At 46.6% G+C, this 22,177-nt stretch overlaps 1 protein-coding gene across 38 annotated transcripts, besides 4 other annotated features; it reads left to right on the top strand.

The window, feature by feature from the left end:
* Positions 3,146-4,028: an enhancer, noted in NCBI's record as "NANOG-H3K27ac-H3K4me1 hESC enhancer chr19:58446173-58447055 (GRCh37/hg19 assembly coordinates)". NCBI's record gives its function as "activates a minimal SCP1, AML or CMV promoter by ChIP-STARR-seq in primed H9 embryonic stem cells {active_cell/tissue: H9 hESC(primed)}" and the evidence as "EXISTENCE:reporter gene assay evidence [ECO:0000049][PMID:30033119]".
* On the top strand, positions 3,431-16,951 carry ZNF418 (zinc finger protein 418). Of its 38 annotated transcripts, none has more exons than XM_047438198.1 (8): positions 3,431-3,498; positions 3,698-3,753; positions 4,931-5,016; positions 6,187-6,403; positions 8,276-8,405; positions 10,786-13,210; positions 15,544-15,641; positions 16,204-16,951. In XM_047438198.1, exons 4-6 carry the CDS (start codon positions 6,338-6,340, stop codon positions 12,681-12,683), a joined length of 2,094 nt encoding a protein of 697 aa, XP_047294154.1. In that variant the 5' UTR covers positions 3,431-3,498; positions 3,698-3,753; positions 4,931-5,016; positions 6,187-6,337; the 3' UTR covers positions 12,684-13,210; positions 15,544-15,641; positions 16,204-16,951. The 38 variants fall into 38 exon arrangements, with proteins under 38 accessions (XP_047294154.1, XP_047294163.1, XP_047294153.1 ...); XM_047438207.1 differs by lacking the exon at positions 6,187-6,403 and having other exon boundaries at positions 3,698-3,802; positions 16,204-16,368; positions 16,576-16,951; XM_047438197.1 differs by having other exon boundaries at positions 3,698-3,802.
* Positions 3,464-3,553: an enhancer, noted in NCBI's record as "active region_15171". NCBI's record gives its function as "activates an Ori minimal core promoter by ATAC-STARR-seq in GM12878 lymphoblastoid cells {active_cell/tissue: GM12878}" and the evidence as "EXISTENCE:reporter gene assay evidence [ECO:0000049][PMID:35858748]".
* Positions 21,321-22,176: an enhancer, noted in NCBI's record as "H3K27ac hESC enhancer chr19:58428025-58428880 (GRCh37/hg19 assembly coordinates)". NCBI's record gives its function as "activates a minimal SCP1, AML or CMV promoter by ChIP-STARR-seq in naive H9 embryonic stem cells {active_cell/tissue: H9 hESC(naive)}" and the evidence as "EXISTENCE:reporter gene assay evidence [ECO:0000049][PMID:30033119]".
* Positions 21,865-21,924: an enhancer, noted in NCBI's record as "active region_15170". NCBI's record gives its function as "activates an Ori minimal core promoter by ATAC-STARR-seq in GM12878 lymphoblastoid cells {active_cell/tissue: GM12878}" and the evidence as "EXISTENCE:reporter gene assay evidence [ECO:0000049][PMID:35858748]".

The raw sequence follows: 22,177 nt of genomic DNA, 5'->3' as shown, positions 1-22,177 counted from the left end.
AGTGTGTTTTAATATATTTTTGACCGTTTGTATGTTGTCTTTTGAAAAATGCCTATTCAGATCGTTTGACATTTTTAAATTGGATTGTTTGAGGGTTTCTTTGCTGTTGAAATACTTCAGTTGCTTGTGTATTGTATTCTGGCTCTATTTTTTTTTGAGACGGAGTTGCTCTGTTGTCCACGCTGGAGTGCAGTGGCACGATTTCAGCTCACTGCAACCTCTGCCTCCCGGGTTCAAGCAATTCTCCTGCCTCAGCCTCCCGAGTAGCTGGGATTACAGATGTGCGCCACCACACCCACCTAATTTTTGTATTTTTAGTAGAGACGGGTTTTTGCCATGTTGGCTAGGCTGGTCTCAAACTCCTGACCTCAAGTGATCTGCCCACCTTAGGCTCCCAAAGTGCTGGGATTGCAGGCATGGCCACTGCATCTGGCCTCTTTCTTGATTCTTGATTACACTGTCACTGAGTGGGTTCTACATCAGAAAAAGATGAATAGGCCAGGTGTAGTGGCCGAATCCTATAATGCCAGCACTTAGGGAGGCCGAGGCAGGAGGATTGCTTGAACTCAGGAGTTTGATACCAGCCTGGGCAACATGGCAAAACCACATCTCTCAAAAATTAGCTGGTTGTGGTGGTGCATGCCTATAGTCCCAATTACTCCTGAATGCTGAGATGGGAGGATCACTTGAGCCTGAGAGGTTGAGACTGCAGTTGAGCCTTGATCATGCCACTGCGCTTCAGCCTTGGCAACAGAGTGAGACGCTGTCTCAAAAAGGGGAGAAAAAAATAGAATGTGGAGATAAGCAGATTTCAAATGTGAAGTGAAAAAGAAGCTTTTCATTGTTCAAACCATATTGCTAAGTGAGAAAAAGTACAGATGTGTATAGAATCTATGACTTTTTTCCTATAAGATGAAAAACTTGTAACATAATTGACACACAGAATAATGAAGAAAGGGAGACACAATTCTATGAGGATAATACTATACTGCAGATTTCACCTTCTGTTTTTACTTATTCATTAAATTATTTATTTGGAGACAGAGTCTTGCTCTGCTGCCCAGGCTGGCCTCAAACTCCTTTGCAGAAGTGATCCTCCCTCTAAGCCTCCCAAGTAGGTAGGTGAACAGGCACAATTTTTCTCCACCTTGGTATTGTTCAATGTTTTTAATAAAGAAAAAAAAATCTCAATGACAAAACCAACAAGGGGGACATTTTTAATCACATGCTGACCTTAATTCCATCTCTTCGTAGACATCACTGTTAAAACTTCTGGGCCGGGCGAGGTGGCTCACACCTGTAGTCCCAGCACTTTGGGAGGCCACCTCGGGTGGATCACCTGAGGTGAGGAGTTTGCGGCCAGCCTGGCCAAAATGGTGAAACCTTGTGTCTACTGAAAATACAAAAATTAGCTGAGTGTGGTGGCAGGCACCTGTAATCCCAGCTACTTGGGAGGCTGAGGCAGGAGAATGAATTGCTTGACCCAGGAGGAGGAGGTTGCAGTGAGCTGAAACTGTGCCATTGTACTCCAGCCTGGACAACAAGAGTGAAACTCCTTCTCAAAACAAACAAACAAACAAACAAACACCTGTAAAGTCAGCTGGGAGCAGTGACTTATGCCTGTAATGTCAGCATTGTGGGAGAAGGAGGCAGGCAGGTCAGAGGTCAAGAGTTTGAGACCAGTCTGGCCAACATGGTGAAACCTTGTCTCTACTAAAAATACAAAAATTAGCTGGGCGTGGTGGCAGGCATCTGTTATCCCAGCTACTTGGGAGACTGAGGCAGGAGAATCGCTTGAACCCGGGAGGTGGAGGTTGCAGTGAGCCAAGATGGCGCCACTGCACTCCAGTCTGGGACAGAACGAGACTTTGTCTCAAAAAAAAAAAAAAAAAAAAAGAAAGAAAAACTTCTGTGAAGTGTAAATTTTTTTCACCATCCACTCATGTTTCAATTGACCTATTTCTGTCATCGCAGTTATTAGATAGTCGTTGGTAATAAGTTTCTGTAACTGGCATTTCACCTGTTTTTCTGGTATCATATTAGTTCCTCATGCAGAACACTCCCCGCTGTCACAAGAGAAACAAATGATAATCACTTCCCAGGAAAGATAACAAGCTCGATAATTTAACATACGCCTAGTGTCTCCAGGTGGAGATTATCACCACCATTACCAATACCAAGCTGAGATTTCTCTTTCATTGTTCTTTACCTGAGACTGACTTCAAGTTCCTAAAATGAGTTGAAAATATAAGTTAGAATACCAAGTAAGGGATATTACATGAATAAATGTTTTGCTGAATGAATTGGACACAATAATTGACTATATAAGCAGGAGAGTTGTTTTTCCATGGGAACGACTGATTGACCTTTGTACTCTTTCTTTAGCCTCTCCTCTATCTTCCTTGGCATGGTCCTATCTGGATTAGTTCTCTTTTGTCCCTGGCAGACTGAAAAACCAACTCTAATGCCTCAGAGTGAGGCAGGAGAATAGGGAATTAGGGTAACCAAGAATGAAGGCATAAGCAAAAGAACAGCAGGTGCAGCTAGTTCTAGGCAAGATGAGGCAGCACACAGGCCACGTCCTCACTCCTGTGGTAACAAGACAGAAGTCTCCACTTCAGCCTCTGATTGGTTGTGCACCAGTCCTTCATAGGATTGGAGGCCTTTAAAGAACTCTTGGGGTATTATAAAATTCTAGCTTATTCATGGCAAAAACCGCAATTACTTTTGCACCAACCTAATAAAACCCTAAAAAACATTGTAATCGGGGTTCTTGAGCCGCTTGGTCGCCTGCTCCCACACCTACATTCCACTTCTGTGGAGTGTACTTTCCCCTCAATAAATCTGCGCTTTCATTGGTCCGTTCTTTCGTTGCTTTTTTTGTGTGTTTTGTTCACTTCTTTGTTCAATGCGCCAACAACTGGACAACTCACAGCCAAGACATTCTATCCGGTAACAAGAGTGCATTCATGTGAATTATAACAGAGTAATGTTTATCAGCCTCTGCTTCCAGTGCAAGCATTCTGTGTCTAAACGATTGTATAAAGTGATACACGAATTTGGATTTGTAGCCTTTGGGGGCCTTCACAGTATTTTTAGCGCCTGGGAGCTTGAATTTACAGAAATGTGAATTAATATTTTTGCAAACACTTAGGTGGTCAGTTACAAACAGGGATTCCCCAGGAATCTCAATATGGCCTCTAAGGAGGGGCGAGACCATCCTCTGCCCTAAAAGGGTACGCGCTTTAATGAACCCCCTGAGGTAGGGCTGGGACTTCCCTGCAGAAGCGCCTTTGGGAAGCGGCAGCTTTACTACCTTGGAACCTGGGGAACTACATTACCCAGAAAGCTCTACATTGAATGACAGCGCAACAGAACCAGTAAGGGCTCAGAATAAAGGCGTTTCTGTGTGCGCACGTAACGTAGTGGCGGGATTCTCAGCGTTCTCTGGTAGCGACCATTTTGGTTAATGTTGGGTGTGTTTCTGCGGTTTGTGAGGTGAGAGGCGCTGGAGCTATGGGTCCGAACCGCGGTGTCTGAACCCAGAAGGTGAAGAGTCCTTCTTGCTGCACAGAGGCAGATCTTAGGCCCCGTAACGGCGCCCGCCGCTCCCGGCAGTGCTTTCCCCGCGTACTCGGGATGGCGGCGGCCGCGCTGAGGCTCCCGGCTCAGGTAATTGTGCCTTCCCTGCCCTCAGGTCACCTCATCCTAACCCGAATCCTGAAGCAGCGAGAGAGCGGCGACTGTTCACAGGTCTGCAGCCCGGACCCGGCGTCGGGACACTGAGGCGTTCGCGGGAGAGGTCCTTGTTTCTGACACCTGTGGGATGCGGTGGGGAGAGCGACAGGCACAGGGACCGGCGCGGGCTATGGCCTGGAGGACAGACCCGGGAGGATGGAACCTGGGGTCCACAGGCGCCTGTAGGGAACAACGTGTGAGGCGAAGCTTCTCCTGGAAGAGCAGGCTGGGGGCTGTGTATTCGCTGTGAAGACGCTAGAAGCCATGGAGAGTTTCGAAGAAAGGAGGGATGCGATCCAAGTCCAGGCTTTTAAGGTTTCCCAAAGGCCAAAGGAAGAACATAGTAGAGGAGATGAGGACCTTAGGGTTCTGGGAGGTTGACTCCTTTGTTGATAGATCACATAGGTGGTAGAGATGACATTTTGCACTGAGACACGCAGGTCAACCAGTCTGAGGTCACCTGGCTCCAGCGATAAGAAAAGGTTCAAGGAGACCTGAGCTTATCAGATCCCCTTTGTAACGTCTGCTTTCCCCTCAGACACTCCTGGCTACAAAAGCACGTAAAGAACCCACTGAGGGGGTCGGGCAAGGTGGCTCCCACCTGTAATCCCAGCACTTTGGGAGGCCGAGGCGGGCGGATCACCTGAGGTCGGGAGTTCGAGACCAGCCTGACCAACATGGAGAAACCCCGTCTCTAACAAAAATACAAAATTAGCCAGGCGTGGTGATGCCGCATGACTGTAATCCCAGCTACTCAGAGGCTAAGGCAGGAGAATTGCTTGAACTCGGGAGGCAGAGGTTGCGGTGAGCCATTGCACTCCGGCCTGGGCAACAAGAGCGAAACTCTGGCTCAAAAAAAGGAACCCACAGAGGGAATTAGAGGGTGTTCCATTCCCTCACTGGCCTTATTCCCCATTCACATGTTCTCTAGCTTGTGATGTCCTGGGACTCTTACTTGCCATTTTTTCAGTCCTTTGATCTGAGAACACTGGAGAAACCCTAAACCCAGAATCCTAAGTCCATGACACAGGATGTATGGAGGTATTCCCATTTCTGTCAACCCATGTAAACATACTTTGAAGGTTAACTACAGAGTTGGTACCAGGTCATGAAATGCTTAGAGGTAAAAATTCGGTGGGGAGGCAAGAGGGCGGCGAGGAGGTGATGTTACCACAGTCCCATTTGTCTGCAGGCATCATCTGGCTGCAAAGAAGAGAACACACTGTGTTTGAGGGAGGAGGAAGGAGGATCAGAGTTTAAACTCCTGCCATAATGCAGGTGAGGGTTACTGGACCATATTAATGAGTAAGGAGCTGTGGCTGGATTCAAGATTCACAGTTTGTAAAATGGCAACTAGATTTTCCTTTTTTTTTTGAGCGGGAGTCTCGCTCTATCGCCCAGGCTGGAGTGCAGTGGCACGATCTTGGCTCATTGCAAGCTCTGCCTCCCGGGTTCACGCCATTCTCCTGCCTCAACCTCCCGAGTAGCTGGGACTACAGGCGCCCGTCACCATGCTCAGCTAATTTTTTGGATTTTTTAGTAGAGACGGTTTCACTGTGTTAGCCAGGATAGTCTCAATCTCCTGACCTCGTGATCCATCGGCCTCGGCCTCCCAAAGTGCTGGGATTACAGGCATGAGCCACCAAGCCCGGCCATGCCCGGCTAATTTTTAATATTTTTAGTAGAGATGGGGTTTCACCGTGTTAGCCAGATGGTCTTGATCTCCTGACCTCGTGATCTACCCGTCTCGGCCTCCCAAAGTGCTGGGATTACAGGCGTGAGCCACCAAGCCCGGTCGGTAACTAGATTTTCTAATAGACTGTGAGGGCATGAAAGGGGAATCAGGTATGACCACCAGGTTTTTGGTCTTAGCATCTGCAGTGATGGAAGCTGCATCAACTGAGATGAGCACATAGTAGGTATAATATTCATTGGGGATGTGAAGAATGTTGTTTTGACCATGTTAAGAGTCTGAGATAGTTTAGCCTCCATTATGACATTGACACACTTCAAATTTTCATGGTAAATCTTTTGTGGGGGCCAGGAAGGGGTGGTTGCAGGCTGAGGGCTGAATTTCTTGCTTGGGTCCCTGGCTGACATTGCCACAGGAGAAGGAGGCAAGGGCTCATGAAGATAGGGTATGTCAGACAACATGGTTTGTCAGGGGGCATAGGCTTTCCAAGGGTAGAATAGATAAGAGATGTAAGCAGAAGCATAGAAATAATTGAAGGAAGATGACACTTGGGCCAAGGCTGGTACTTATTCACCACTCTGTGGACTCACCAAGATTTTGAGAAAACTTTGTTGGTGCTTGGGGGTTTTCATTCGGCCTGGTGGATACATGCTCAGGGTAAATTTGGTTATCTGTGACAGACATTGGGCCTGGGGTGGACAGCTGATGGGCTGGGATTTTATTTATTTTTTTCTTTTGTTTTCCACTTTTCTTAGACCATTCTCCATAACAAGGGAGTGGGATTTAAATGACTCTAGGTGGACAGAGGAAAGTCGTCATTGTAGAGGGGTCACCAAGTGCAACACAGAAGTGGAATAGGGCCATGGATATCTAAAGCCCCACCTGGTTCTGTGGGGATGTGGAGCCATGCAAGAAGGCCTTCATAGAATGACTTGGGACTGCATTGCTATTGGGAGCCATGAGAATTCTGTGGTAATATTGGATCCTGTTTGAATTTGCCAAGCATACTCTGAATTCTGTCAGCCACATTGTGGCATAAGGCCGAAAATGAAAGGCCAATGTGATGTGCAACGTTGGTGTGTGGTGATACTGTATGACCTCAAATGGCCTGAGCACAAATCCCCTTCCCACTCTGTTCTATTGGATAATGTATCCTGGCCTAACAACCCTTTTCATTAAGGGATCAGGCACAGTTTCTGGTTATTATACTTTGTACTGGGTTTCAATTCCATTTCTACTCAGAATTATTTAAGCAAGTCAGTGGCACCCTCCTGAGAAATCAGGGGCTATCACACCCTCTTCATCCTACAAAGTGTGCATAACACTGTCCCTGGTTTCCATTTGTTGTCCACAGTGCAACCCCCATGTGGCCCTCTCTGCCAGGCTGTGAGTTATTTGATTTTGAAATTGCTGTGGATGGCATATGTACAGTCTCAGGTGTCAATTGTTTCCCCAACACTATAACCCTAAGGGGAGAATCCCACTCAGAGCAGTAGAAGGAAAAGAAGGGGATTAAAATACTTTGTTGGCCAGGCTTGAAGGCTCATGCTGTAATCCCAGCACTTTGGGAGGCTGAGGTGGGAGGATTGCTTGAGGCCAGGAGTTTGAGATCAGCCTGGGCAACTTAGCAACACCCCATCTCTTAAAAGAAAGTGGTTGATGTTGCACATACGTAAGATCCCATCTCCACAGAAGGCTGAGGCCTGGGGCTAAGGGGTTTGAACTTTCCATGAGCCATGATCACACTACTCCCCTCCAGCTTAGGCGACCAAAGGAGAACCTGACTAAAAGAAACCAAAACTGTAATTTGTGTTAAGGCTCAAAAGAAGCTGATGGTTGGGGGATGTCATGTTGGGCTGGCCGTGACATGTGCCTGTGCTATCTAAAGAATGATGTGTAAGGCCGGGCGTGGTGGCTTATGCCTATAATCCCAGCACTATGGGAGGCCGAGGTGGGTGGATCACCTGAGATCAGGAGTTTGAGACCAGCCTAGCCAACATGGTGAAACCCCATTTCTACTAAAAATACAAAAATTAGCCAGGTGTGGTGGTGGGTGCCTGTAATCCCAGTTACTTGGGAGGCTGAGGCAGGAAAATTGCTTGAACCTGGGAGGTGGAGGTTGCAGTGAGCTGAGATCCCGCCACCGCACTCTTGTCTGGGCAACAAGAGCGAAACTCCATCTCAGAAAAAAAAGAAGGATGTGTATTTAGAGAGGGAGTACGTCTAATGGACCCAGGCAACTGCACTGGGCTTTATGTGAGCTCGGATATACCACAGGCATTAGCTGTCAGGAGGGGGTGGACCCTTTTATGTTAAGAGTACAGCATAGCCGGGCACGGTGGCTCACGCCTATAATCCCAACACTTTGGGAGGCTGAGGCGGGTGGATCACGAGGTCAGGAGTTCAAGACCAGCCTGGCCAAGATGGTGAAACCCTGTCTCTACTAAAAATACAAAAATGAGCCAGAAGTGGTGGTGGGTGCCTGTAATCCCAGCTACTCGGGCGGCTGAGGCAGAGAATTGCTTGAACCCAGGAGGCAGAGGTTGCAGTGAGCTGAGGTCATGCCACTGCACTCCAGCCTGGGTGACAGAGCGAGACTCTGTCTCAGAAAAACAAAAAAACAAGCACAGCATAGATCCCTATTTTTCCCCTACTTCTTAATTGCTGATGGCTATACTGAGTGACCAGTGGGCCCACGAAGAGACAAAGGCACCAGTGGACTAGTTTCTCCTCTGTGCTGAGGATCTTGGGAGGAGGATGGGCAAGGGGGTGGGGGTGTGGGAGAGGTGGATTGTGGTACCTCAGCATAGGAGCTGTTTGTGGTTTCATCTGTCACCATCATAGCAGGGCACTGTGGCATTTGAAGATGTGGCTGTGAACTTTTCCCAGGAGGAGTGGAGTCTCCTTAGTGAGGTTCAGAGATGCCTTTACCATGACGTGATGCTGGAGAACTGGGTACTTATATCCTCCCTGGGTAAGTTCCTCACACCCTACCCTATTTCCTGAATAGATCTCTGCCCTTCCCCTTTTCTCCCATTGGCAAGACTGTCTTTTATCATGTCAGGACCATGGGCACAGCTTCCTTCTCCACTTCTCTGGGTAGGTTTTGTGGTTGGTAGGTCTGAGGTTTGTGTACTGCCTTTTCTCCTTGAGCAGTCCCAATACGTGCTTTGCTGCAGACTCTCAGGGAAGGAGTTAGAGTCAGGTGTCTCGTAGTCAATCTAATGCATTTCACCTTGCATGTCCCTGTGTTGCTGTTTGACTTTGTCCAGATCTGAGACTCCTGTGTGTCCAGGTTCTACTTCCTTCCTTTAGCTGACATTACTTGATGCCTGCCTGTGGCAGGAATTGCCATCACTCCCGTTGTCACTGCCTACATAGACCAAAGGCAAGACCCTCCTTAGAAATTCTGTTTTTAGGCCGGGTGCGGTGGCTCACGCCTGTAATCCCAGCACTTTGGGAGGCCGAGGCGGGTGGATCACGAGGTCAGGAGATGGAGACCATCCTGGCTAACAAGGTGAAACCCTGTCTCCACTAAAAAATACAAAAAAATTAGCTGGGCGTGGTGGCGGGCGCCTGTAGTCCCAGCTACTAGGGAGGCTGAGGCAGGAGAATGGTGTGAACCTGGGAGGCGGAGCTTGCAGTGAGCTGAGATCGCACCACTGCACTCCAGCCTGAGCAACAGAGCAAGACTCCGTCTCAAAAAAAAAAAAAAGAAATTCTGTTTTTAGTAATTAGTTTCCTTTCCTGTGTGTTGTCATGTTTTGAACCACTGTTGCTGAAAACTACCAGCACATATTGGCAGGAGGAAGAGGATAGGGAGTCCAGTGATGTGGCCTTTGTGACCAGCCAGCATTTCAATTTAATCAGGTGGAAATGGCCTTCCTGGCTCATCACTGTTTGCTGCCACAGAGGCTAGTTGCCCCAGTTCTGCCCTATCTTTGCCTTAGTACTTACATCATCCAGGTTCCATGTACTTCATCATTGTGATGGTGGGATGGAGAGTCCTCAGTGCTGCAGAAGAGGCAGTTGAATCCAGGCTCAGCCTGATGTTCTCAGAGGGAGCCTGTCACTGAGGAGTGGCACCTGGTGGGAGGGCATGAGTTCGAGATTTTCTTCAAATCGTATCAGAAACCTATTCTATTTGACTAGTATTTTTGTGGCCAGTAGGCACTGTTTCTGTCTTTTCCTTTCCATTCTTGAGAGCATCAGATTTGTCAGTTGTACACCTTGTCACTTGTACTCTGATGTCCATCCCCCAACGAATCTTCCAGTCTCTGGACTCCACATCTCACCCATTTATTTTCTCATGTTTACTTCTAGAGTGCTGTCCGATACTGGCATACACATTGTGTATTAGCAAGTGTGTACAAATTGTGTTTTGTTTTTGGTTTTTGTTTTTGTTTTTGAGATGGAGTCTCTCTTTGTCGCCCAGGCTGGAGTACAGTGGCGTGATCTCAGCTCACTGCAAGCTCCACCTCCTGGGTTCACGCCATTCTCCTGCCTCAGCCTCCCGAGTAGCTGAGACTACAGGCGCCCGCCACCACGCCCGGCTAATTTTTTTGTATTTTTAGTAGAGACGGGGTTTCACTGTGTTAGCCAGGATGGTCTCGATCTCCTGACCTCGTGATCCACCCACCTTGGCCTCCCAAAGTGCTGGGATTACAGGTGTGAGCCACCGCACCCGGCCAAGTGTGTGCAAATTGTTAAACTGTTCTGACCAAGAGCTGTTGTCTTGTAAATCATTTTCTTAGGCCTGGACATAGCCTTCTATATAGCATTAACATGTCATCAGATAATTTCCCGCAGACAAGTGGTTTGCAAAGGAAAGAGTTATACAGCAGGTGCATTGGCTTACACCTGTAATCCCAGCACTTTGGGAGGCCGATGTGGGTGGATTTCTTGAACCTGGGAGTTTGAGACCAGCCTGGGCAACAAGGCGAAACCCCACCTCTACAAAAAGTAGCTGGGCGTATTGGCCTGTGCCTGTGGTCCCAGCTACTGTGGAGGCTGAGGTGGGAGGATCACCTGAGCCCAGGAGACAGAGATTATGCCACTGCACTCTGTGCTGGATGACAGAGTGAGATCCTGTCTCTCAAGAAGAAAAAAAAAATTGTAGACCTTGGCTCAATTCTCTGTGTTGCATGTATGCTAATGCCCTTCATATCATGAGGCCGACATTCTGTGACCTTTATAGCCCAGTAATGATAGCCTCATCTTCCACGTGAAGCCAACTTTCTGTTCCTGCAAATATTTCCATGGAGTAATTCCTTGGTTTGTCAGACACGCTTGTGGGTGGGCTGTGCCTTCCCACCAGAGTTAACTTGAATTCATCAGCATTTTCTTGCTTTCAGGTTGTTGGTGTGGATCAGAAGATGAGGAGGCACCTTCTAAGAAGAGCATTTCTATACAAAGAGTGTCTCAGGTCAGCACTCCTGGGGCAGGTGTGTCTCCCAAGAAGGCCCACTCTTGTGAAATGTGTGGCGCGATCTTGGGAGACATTTTGCACTTGGCAGATCATCAGGGGACACATCACAAGCAGAAACTGCACAGGTGTGAGGCATGGGGGAATAAATTGTATGATAGTTCAAACCGTCCGCACCAGAATCAGTACCTTGGAGAGAAACCCTATAGAAGCAGTGTTGAGGAAGCATTGTTTGTGAAGAGGTGTAAGTTCCATGTGTCAGAGGAGTCATCTATCTTCATTCAGAGTGGAAAGGACTTTTTGCCCAGCTCAGGATTACTGCTGCAGGAGGCCACTCACACTGGGGAGAAGTCAAACAGCAAACCTGAGTGTGAGTCTCCCTTTCAGTGGGGAGATACTCATTACAGCTGTGGAGAATGCATGAAACATTCTAGCACCAAACACGTATTTGTTCAACAGCAGAGACTTCCCTCTAGAGAGGAATGTTATTGCTGGGAATGTGGGAAATCCTTTAGCAAATATGATAGCGTCAGTAATCATCAGAGAGTTCACACTGGGAAAAGACCTTATGAATGTGGAGAATGTGGGAAATCTTTTAGTCATAAGGGCAGCCTTGTTCAGCATCAGCGAGTTCACACTGGGAAAAGACCTTATGAATGTGGAGAATGTGGGAAATCTTTTAGTCATAAGGGCAGCCTTGTTCAGCATCAGCGAGTTCATACTGGAGAAAGACCTTATGAGTGTGGAGAATGTGGGAAATCTTTTAGTCAAAATGGTACTCTCATTAAACATCAACGAGTTCACACTGGAGAAAGACCTTATGAGTGTGAAGAATGTGGGAAATGTTTTACTCAGAAGGGCAATCTCATTCAACATCAACGAGGTCACACTAGTGAAAGACCTTATGAGTGTGAAGAATGTGGAAAATGTTTTAGTCAAAAGGGCACCCTAACTGAACATCATCGAGTTCACACTAGAGAACGACCTTATGAGTGTGGAGAATGTGGGAAATCTTTTAGTCGAAAGGGACACCTTAGGAACCATCAGCGAGGTCACACTGGAGAAAGACCTTACGAGTGTGGAGAATGTGGGAAATCTTTTAGTCGAAAGGGCAACCTCATTCAGCATCAGCGAAGCCACACTGGAGAAAGGCCTTATGAGTGTAGAGAGTGTAGGAAATTATTTAGGGGCAAGTCCCACCTCATTGAACACCAGAGAGTTCACACTGGAGAAAGGCCATATGAATGTAATGAATGTGGGAAATCATTTCAAGACAGCTCTGGGTTTCGTGTTCATCAGAGAGTTCACACTGGAGAAAAACCGTTTGAGTGTAGTGAATGTGGGAAGTCATTTCCTCAAAGCTGTTCCCTCCTTCGACATCGGAGAGTTCATACTGGAGAAAGGCCTTATGAATGTGGAGAATGTGGAAAGTCATTTCATCAGAGCTCTTCCCTCCTTCGACATCAGAAAACTCACACTGCAGAAAGACCTTATGAGTGCAGAGAATGTGGGAAATTCTTCTCCAGTCTCCTTGAACACAGGAGAGTTCACACTGGAGAAAGGCCTTATGAATGCAGGGAATGTGGAAAAACATTTACTCGAAGGTCTGCGCATTTTAAACATCAGAGACTTCATACTCGAGGAAAGCCTTACGAGTGCAGCGAATGTGGGAAATCCTTTGCTGAAACCTTCAGTCTTACTGAACACAGGAGAGTACACACTGGAGAAAGGCCTTATGAGTGCAGTGAATGTGGAAAATCATTTCATCGAAGCTCTTCTCTCCTTCGACATCAGAGAGTTCACACAGAAAGAAGTCCTTACAAGTGAAAAGAAATTTGGGAAATTCTTTAGCTAAACCTCTGTGCATCTTCTTGATCAGAGGGTTCTTACTGGATCAGGACCTTATGAGTGTGACAAACGTGGGATATTCTTTATGCAGAAGTCTTGTTTTATTACATACAGAAGAGCTCCCACTGCAGAAGGGCCTCTTGAGTGCGATGAATGTGAGAAAGCCTTCTGCCTTCTGTCATTGGATAACAGATTGTTCTCATAAGGAAAACACTGTACACGTACAGGAAATATTATTTCTTGTAAAACATAACACTGGAGGAGATGCCTTATGACGGAGCCATCTGCCTAAATTGACATACCTTCAGCATCTGCATAAACTCAATTATGTTGGAGCTGTGTGGCATTTTTCACCCTGCCGGGTTCCCTTGCCAGACATGATGTCGGTTATCTGGCAAAAGCCATTTTATGTCGGCCACGAGGCAGGTGTTCACTGTGCATCATTCATTCACCCCATGATGTTCTGGAAGTAAACCTTGGTTGTCTTTCGTTGGCCAGAGGAATTGGTGAGTAGTCTCAGCTGTCATTCCTTTCTCATTTCTTTCGGATGAGCGAGACCATGGATCTGTCTCAGTACTGGTCCAGAGGGGTCTTCTGTCAGCTTGAAAAGATGGACTACCTTTTTCAGGGACCTTATGGGTCTCATGTGATATTTTTTTTTTTTTTTTGAGACAGAGTCTCGCTCTGTCGCCCAGGCTGGAGTACAGTGGCGTGATCTCAGCTCACTGCAAGCTCCGCCTCCCGGGTTCACGCCATTCTCCTGCCTCAGCCTCCCGAGTAGCTGGGACTACAGGTGCCCACCACCATGCCCAGCTAATTTTTTTGTATTTTTAGTAGAAATGGGGTTTCTCCGTGTTAGCCAGGATGGTCTCGATCTCCTGACCTCATGATCTGCCCTCCTTGGCCTCCCAAAATGCTGGGATTACAGGCGTGAGCCACCGCACCCAGCGGGTCTCATGTGATTCTTTAGGCTCTTAAGTTCCAACCAAAGAACATTCTGCTTCCCATTGCTCTGATTTGTGCAATGAATAAGGCCTTATTGTTTAAGCTTCCTTCAGTCTTGAGAGTTGTATTTACTCTTTCGGGTGGTTTGGAAACAACTGGGTTCTGGTGTCATAAAGGGGCAGACAGCTTTTGTTGGGATCACTAGACTTTGTGTGCCTCAGAGGGGACAGTATGATGACAGAATATACTGTCTCTTCACTTGTGGCATAGTTTTCATGGCTGCCCAAGGCCTCCAAAGACTCCAGAACTTTGTGGTCCTTATTTGTTGACTAGATACTCCAATAATTTCTGGGTTTATAGATAAACCTGAGAAGGGAACAGTGTTTGTGACATCCTCTGATGCTTCTGAGATCGACACGAAAATTTCCTCTCTTTTACAAGGGATATTGCATTCTGCTCAGTACTGCTGAGGGAAATCTGTTCCCTAGGTCCTGGAATGCAGCCATGTGCTCTGATATCCAGAGTTTCGTAGTGTGGTGTCCCAGGTTATGAGATTATAACAGGAAGTCATAATTTATAGAATTTCTGCATTTATAGGCAGTGGAGGACACTGCAAGAACAGAGTTGGAATGCACGTCATCCACATTGATTCAGTTACTATGTATGTGGTGGACTGTCAGGTACAGAAATTCTCAGAACCTCCATAATTATGAATCTTGTGTAGCTGAGGCCATTGTCAAAGGAAATAATATAAAGGATTCGTGGATTCCTGTACCCTTTCTCGGCTGTTCACCTCAAGGCAATTCCTGCATTGGCAGGAGGAAGAGGATAGGGAGAAGGGAGATCTCTTAGTCCAGTGATGTGGTCTTTGTGACCAACCAGTGTTCCAATTTAATCAGGTGAAAATGGCCTTCCTGGCTTATCAGTATTTGCTGCCGCAGAGACTCATTGCTGCACTTAGGACATGAGGAGATTTTGTATAGTTGTCAAGCATGTTTGTCAAAAATAATAGAAAATCCATGTTTTTCTTTTTTTTTTTTTCTAAGACAAGGTGTTGCTCTGTGACCCAGGCTGGAGTACAGTGGCGAGATCATAGTTCACTGCAGCCTCGAACTCCTCAAGCAATCCTTTTCCCTCAGCCTCCCAAAGTGCTGGGATTACAGGCCTCAGCCATCATGTCCAGCCCACATTTTTCTTTTGAATCAATTCTTTAAAGCCATAATAAGGAATAAATGACATTCTGTAAACTATACATATTTAAACTGTACCATGTGGTAAGTTTAGACTTTCATAGAAACCCATGAAAGTGGCCAGGCACGGTGGCTCACGCCTGTAATCCCAGCACTTTGGGAGGCTGAGGCAGGCGGATCACGAGGTCAGGAGATCGAGACCATCCTGGCTAACATGGTGAAACCCCGTCTCTACTAAAAAAATACAAAAAATTAGCTGGGCGTGGTGGCAGGCGCCTGTAGTCCCAGCTACTCGGGAGGCTGAGGCAGGAGAATGGAGTGAACCCGGGAGGTGGAGCTTGCCGTGAGCCAAGATCGCACCACTGTACTCCAGCCTGGGTGACAGAGCAAGACTCGGTCTCAAAAAATATATATATATGTGTATATATGTGTGTGTGTGTGTGTGTGTGTGTGTATGTATATATATGTATATATGTATATATGTGTGTGTATATATGTATATACATGTATGTATATGTATGTATATATGTATATATATGTGTGTATATATGTATGTGTGTGTATATGTATATATATATATATTTTGCATCCCTTGGCATAAATGGGTTAGGTAAGTGTGTCACTAAATAGAAAAATACTCCCGTCTGCAATGAATTAGAAAGTTGCTTTTGATTCTTTCTTAATTTTTTTTGTTTTTGAGACAGAATGTCCGTCTGTCTGCCCAGGCTGGAGTGGCACGATCTCAGCTCACTGCAGCCTCCACCTCCAGGGTTCAAGCGATTCTCCTGCCTCAGCCTCCCGGGTAGGTGGGATTACAGGCATGCACCACCATGCCCGGTTAATTTTTGTATTTTTAGTGGAGATGGGGTTTTACCATGTTGTTCAGGCTGGTCTTGAAGTCCTGACCTTGTGATGATCTGCCCGCCTCGGCCTCCCAAAGTGCTGGGATTTCAGGCATGAGCCATAGTGCCTGGCCCTTTTTTTTTTTTTTTTTTTGAGACAGTGTCACTCTGTTGCCCAGGCTGGAGTACAGTGACACAATCACAATTCACTGCAGCCTTGACCTGCTGGACTCAAGTCATCCTCCCACCTCAGCCTCCCAAGTTGCTAGGGACAGGCATGTGCCACCACGCACAGCTAATTTTTAAAATTTTTCTGTAGAGATTAGGTCTCACTATGTTGCCCAGGCTGCTCTCAAAACTCCTGAGCTCAAGGGATCTTCCCACCTTGGCCTCTCAAAATGCTAAGATTACAGGATGAGCCACTGTGCCTGGCATGCTTTTGGTTTTTTTCTTGCAATTTAACAAAGTGGTGTCCCATATATTTAAGTATCAAATGTATAACTGAATTTTCTTTCTTTTCAGGGATCTCAAGGGCATTTCCCTTTGCCCACCTCACCTTTTCATATTTGGTAAACTGTATGCATTTGCCTCCAGCCCAAGATTATAAATATGAACTGATTATGATCTGCATGTTCTCTCTTTGGGTTCAAGCATTTCCTTACAGAAGAGCCACCGTGGAAGTCATGGGTAAATATGTGTTGAATTGGTAACTCCCTCTTGGAGAATTTCTTGTGAATTACACAGCAATAGGGGAACTCATTTAACTGGAGACATAATCTCAATTTGTAAAGTGTGGCCCATTTTCTAACATTTTTATTTTGCATACCCTCCCCTCTCTTCTCGATTGATGAAACTAACAAAGAGGTTAATAAAAGCCCATCTCGTCATGTACAGGGACTCATGCCTTTAATTCCAGTGTTTTGGGAGACTAAGGCAAGAACATCCTGGAGGCCAGGAGTTCGACACTGTATAACAGATATATCTGACAGCAGTAACTCAAGCACACCCTAAGAATGACCCTGTGGTCTAAGAAGAGTGTTGGTTCAGCGTTCCAAACGAAGAAATCCAGGAGTGGCCAACCTGGAGGTTTCTGAACCCCTGGCCTGTTCCTTGGAATGAGGCCCTTTGTTTTGAGCTAGGCGGAGGGTGATAAGTGAAAATACTATATAAACTGCATGCTTCTTTCAAATGATAGTGGTTTTTTTGTCCAGCCTGCCGCTCCTGGACTGCCCTGTATCTAAGTCCTCAATAAACCCTATGTCTCATTTTCTTTCTTTCTTTCTTTTTTGAGATGGAGTTTCGCTCCTGTTGCCCAGGCTGGAGTGCAGTGGCGTGATCTCGGCTCACTGCAACCTCCACCTCCCGGTTCAAGCGATTCTCCTGCCTCAGCCTCCCAAGTAGCAGGGATTACAGGCATGTGCCACTACACCCGGCTAATTTTGTATTTTTAGTAGAGACGGGGTTTCTGCGTTTTGATCACGGTGGTCTCGAACTCCCAACCTCAGGTGATCCGCCTGCCTTGGCCTCCCAAAGTGCTGGGATTACAGGCGTGAGCCACACGCCTAGCTCTATGTCTCATTTTCTAGCTCTGGCTCTCATTCAGTTCTTGGACATGGTGCCATCCTTGTTGAAGTCAACAGGGTAGGGATCAAGCATGATAGAGACCAGCCGGGCAACACAGCACAACCCTGTCTCTACCAAAACAGCTGGGCATGGTGGCAAATGCCTATAGTCCTAGCTGTGTGGGAGACTGAGGTGGGAGGATCATTTGAGCCCAGGGATTTGAGGTTACAGTGGGCCATGATTGCCCCATTGCACTCTATCCTAGACAGCAGAGTAAGACCCTGTCTCTCACCTGGCGAAATTAACAGAAGCTTTTCATATTACTTTGCTGAAAGCTCTTAAATTGGTTTTGCTTAACCTATAAACAACTCCTTTCAGAAAACAAGTATTCCGTTGTGAGAAAATTACCTATCATGCCATGAGGTTGGATGGAGGATTGTATGAACCAACTTAATTCAAAAGGGATCGACCAAGCATGGTGGCTAACGCCTGTAATCCCAGCATTTGGTAGGCCGAGGCAGGTGGATCGCCTGAGGTCAGGAGTTCGATACCAGCCTTGCCAACATGGTGAAACCTCGTCTCTTCTAAAAATCCAAAAATTTGCTGGGCGTGGTGGTGGATGTCTGTAATCCCATCTACTCTGGAGGCTGAGGCATCTTTTTATGTATTTATTTATTTTTTTGAGACATAGTCTCACTCTGTCACCCAGGCTGGAGTGCAGTGGTGCAACCTCTGCTCACTGCAACCTCTGACTCCTGGGTTCAAGTGATTCTCTTGCCTCAACCTCCCAAGTAGCTGGGATTACAGGTGTGCGCCACCATAACCATACCCAGCTAATTTTTGTATTTTTAGTAGAGACAGGGTTTCACCATGTTGGCCAGGCTGGTCTTGAACTCCTGACCTCAGGCGAGCCACCCGCCTCAGCCCCCCAAAGTGCTAGAATTACAGGCATGAGCCACCACACCCGGTAGGAGAATCGCTTGAACCCGGGAGGCGGAGGTTGCAGTGAGCTGAGATCGCACCACTGCACTCCAGCCTGGGTGACAGAGTGAGACTCTGCCTCAAAAAAAAAAAAAAGAAGAAGAAGAATCTCATTTTAAAGCCAAAACCATCAGACTGACCATTCCAATTATGTGCTGAGCATAATTTAATCTCTTGGACATTGGTGCTAACATTTCTCTGAGGTCCTAAGCTTTTTCACCATCTACTGATGTTTCCATAGACCCACTTCTGTCAAAACTGTTTAATAATTACCTAGTCAATGTTTTCTTGTTTTTTGCTTTTTATATTTTTGGGGGAGCGGGAGAGAGACGGAGTCTCGCTCTGTCGCCCAGGCTGTAGTGCAATTGCACGATCTAGGCTCACTACAACCTCTGCCTCCCGGGTTCAAGCAGTTCTTCTGTCTCAGCCTCCCAAGTAGCTGGGACTACAGGCACTTGCTACCACGCCTGGCTAATTTTTTTTTTGAGATGCCTAGGCTGGAGTGCAGTGGCGTGATCTCCGCTCACTCCAAGCTCCGTCTCCTGGATTCACGCGTTTCTCTTGCCTCAGCCTCCCCTGTAGCTGGGACTACAGGCACCTGCCACCAGGCCTGGCTAATTTTTTGTATTTTTAGTAGAGACGGGGTTTCACCGTCTTAGCCAGGATGGTCTCGATCTCCTGACCTTGTGATCTGCCCACCTCGGCCTCCCAAAGTGCTGGGATTACAGGCGTGAGCCACCACGCCCAGCCTACCTAGTCAGTATTAATAGGCTTTTGTATCTTGCAATTTACAACTGTTTCTCTTATGTAATATTAATTTTTCATGCAGAACACTCCCTCCTCTCAAATCAATGATAATCACTTCCCATCAATGACATGAACTCATGGCTTTTACAAATGCCCAGTATGAACAGATGGAGAGCACCAACTTTAAGTACTGTTTGAAATGCTTGTTCTTTAGTGCCGTAAAGAAATAGCACTTGACTTGGCCGGGCGCGGTGGCTCATGCCTATAATCCCAGCACTTTGGGAGGCCGAGGTGGGAGGATCACCTGAGGTCGGGAGTTCAAGACCAGCCTGACCAAGATGGAGAGACCCCATCTCTACTAAAAATACAAAATTAGCTGGGCATGGTGGCGCATGCCTATAATCCTAACTACTCAGGAGGCTGAGGCAGGAGAATCACTTGAACCTGGGAGACGGAGGTTGTGGTGAGCCAAGATCGCGCCATTGCTCTCCAGCCTGGGCAACAAGAGCGAAACTCCGTCTCAAAAAAAAAAAAAGAAAGAAAGAAATAGCATTGAACATAAATTTAATTTCCTCAGCAAGGCCATTTTTACTTTCTGCAGAAACGGTATACTCGCCAGCAGTTTTGCTGTGAGATTACACTGAACAAAGGAGACAGGGTCATTTATAACCTGCCTGACGCATCCACCTTACTGCTGTGTCCGGTTTCCACTGGCTAAATACAAATTCACATTCTGTATTTGTCCTGATTGACTAGCAACTTAGAACATTTTTAAAAGAGGCAAAGGCAAGAGGAAAACGAAGGAGGAATTAACTTATGGAATGCTAAGAAAGGCAAAAACACCTTCAAATAAGAGGAACAGGCTATGACAATGCTTGCTTGGACCAGTGTAAACATGCCAGGGCAAATATTTAGGCTAAATTGTGGGAGCTAAGAACATAAAGTACATGGATTTTTTTAATTACGGCTAGAAGATATTTAAGAATGTTAGCACAGGTCTTTGAATAAATTTTGCTTCTAAGAGAAGTTACTATTTATTCCTAATTAGATGGGAGGAAAGTCTTTGAAGAGGAACCTGTACTTTACTTTTTACAGACTGTAGCCATCACTACTACCAAGATACCATTTATTTTATTGTTTTTTGTTTCTTTGTTTGAGAGAGTCTCGCTCTGTCGCCAGGCTGCAGTGCAATGGCGCGATCTCAGCTCACAGCAACCTCTGCCTCCCGGGTTCAAGTGATTCTCCTGCCTTAGCCTCCCGAGTAGCTGGGACTACAGGCGTGTGCCACCACACCCGGCTAATTTTTTTTTTGTATTTTTAGTAGAGACGGGGTTTCACCATGTTAGCCAGGATGGTCTCGATCTCCTGAACTGGTGATCCGCCTGCCTCGGCCTCCCAAAGTGCGAGGATTACAGGCGTGAGCCACCGTGCCCAGCCTTATTGTTCTTTATAAGACTGATGTCAAATTACTAAAAGGAGTTGAATGTAAGTTAGAATATCAAGTAAAGGATACTAAGTGGGAAAAAGTGTTGTTCAATTAATTGAACGCTATAATGATTTGTGAACCCCCCAAATTTGAGACAGGTCTCAGTTAATTTAAATAGTTTATTTTGCTGGCCAGGTGTGGTGACTCATGCCTGTAACCCCAACACATTGGAGGGTGAGGCAGGCAGATCACGAGGGAGATCGAGACCATCCTAAACAAGGTGAAACCCCCGTCTGTACTGAAACTACAAAAATTGGCGTGATGCCACGTGCCTGTACTCCCAGCTACTCGGGAGGCTAAGGCAGGAGAATCACTTGAACCCGAGAGGCAGAGGTTGCAGTGAGCCGAGATCGCGCCACTGCACTCGAGCCTGACCAAAGAGCGAGACTCCGTCTCATAAAAGAAAAAGTTTATTTTGCCAAGGTTGAGGACACATGCCCGTGACACAGCCTCAGGAAGTCCTGACGACATGTGCCCATGGTGGTTGGGGTACAGGTTGGTTTTATACATTTTAGGGGGACATGAGACATCAGTGAATATATGTAAGAAGTACATTGGTTCCGACCAGAAAGGCGGGAACAACTCGAAGCAGGGAGGGGACTTCCAGGTCACAGGTAGACAGGTAGAGAGACAAATAGTTGGATTCTTTTTAATTTCTGATAAGTCCTTCCAAAGGAGGCAATCAGAATAGGCATCTATCTCAGTGAGGAGAGGGAAGACTTTGAATAGAATGGGAGGCAAGTTTGCCCTGAGCAGTTCCCAGATTGACTTTTCCCTTTAGCTTAGTAATTTTGAGGCCACAAGATTTTCCTTTCACAGATTCTATCAGCAGGAGAGTTGTTTTCTGTAGGAATCACAGAGATTCAGCTTTGCACTCCTGCTATAGGGGAGCACATCCCTAACTTCCTTCATTTGCCTTAGGCACTCTAAGGCTTCTGAGGGCCTTCAGACACATTATAACACAACAACGCTTATCAGCCTCTGCTTCCAGTGCAGGTATTTTGCGACTGAACGACTGTTTCAAACGGTGTGGTAATTTGGATTTTTAGCCTTTAGGAGAATCCTAAATAATAGTTTTAGCTTGAGCTCCCTATTATTTACCTTGCGCTCCCCGAAATCTGAAACAGTATTTTTCCAGATTCTTGAGTGATTAGTTACAGACACTAGTCTCCAGGAATCTCAATACGGCTTCTAAGGCTAGGTGAGACCCCTCCTCTGCCCTAGAAAGGCGCCTTTTTTTTTTTTTTTTTTTTTTTTTTTTTTTTTTTTTTTGAGACAGAGTCTTGCTCTGTCGCGCAGGCTGGAGGGCAGTGGCGCGATCCCAGCTCACTGCAAGCTCTGCCTCCCAGGTTCACGCCATTCTCCTCCAGCCTCAGCCTCCAGAGTAGCTGTGACTGTAGGCGCCCGCCACCACACCCAGCTAACTTTTTTTTTTTTTGAATTTTTAGTAGACACGGGGTTTCACCGTGTTAGCCAGGATGGTCTCCATCTCCTGACCTCGTGATCCGCCCACCTCCGCCTTCCAAAGTGCTGAGATTACAGGCTTGAGCCACTGCGCCCGGCCAGAAGGGTGCGCTTTTTAAGGAGAACCCCTGACCTGATGGCGGGCTTTTCCTGCAGATGGACTCTGGGTATCGCTCTTTTTAGCGCCATGGAAAGTGGGGAACTACATTACCCAGAAAGCTCTGCGTTAAACGACAGCCGGTCAGAGCCAATGAG

This window comes from Homo sapiens, chromosome 19, assembly GCF_000001405.40.
Source record: "Homo sapiens chromosome 19, GRCh38.p14 Primary Assembly".
Classification (NCBI taxonomy): Eukaryota; Metazoa; Chordata; class Mammalia; order Primates; family Hominidae; genus Homo; species Homo sapiens.
The sequence above is the reverse complement of the archived record's forward strand: the minus strand, read 5'-3'. Positions and strand labels throughout refer to the sequence as shown.

What these genes read in the sequence shown, in the direction of transcription:
- ZNF418 (XM_047438198.1), top strand. Translation starts at nt 6,338, where the DNA reads ATGCAAGAAGGCCTTCATAGAATGACTTGGGACTGCATTGCTATTGGG. An exon ending in GGAGCCATGAGAATTCTGTG is followed by an intron (nt 6,404 to 8,275) that starts GTAATATTGGAT and finishes TCACCATCATAG; the next exon opens with CAGGGCACTGTGGCATTTGA. An exon ending in GGTACTTATATCCTCCCTGG is followed by an intron (nt 8,406 to 10,785) that starts GTAAGTTCCTCA and finishes TCTTGCTTTCAG; the next exon opens with GTTGTTGGTGTGGATCAGAA.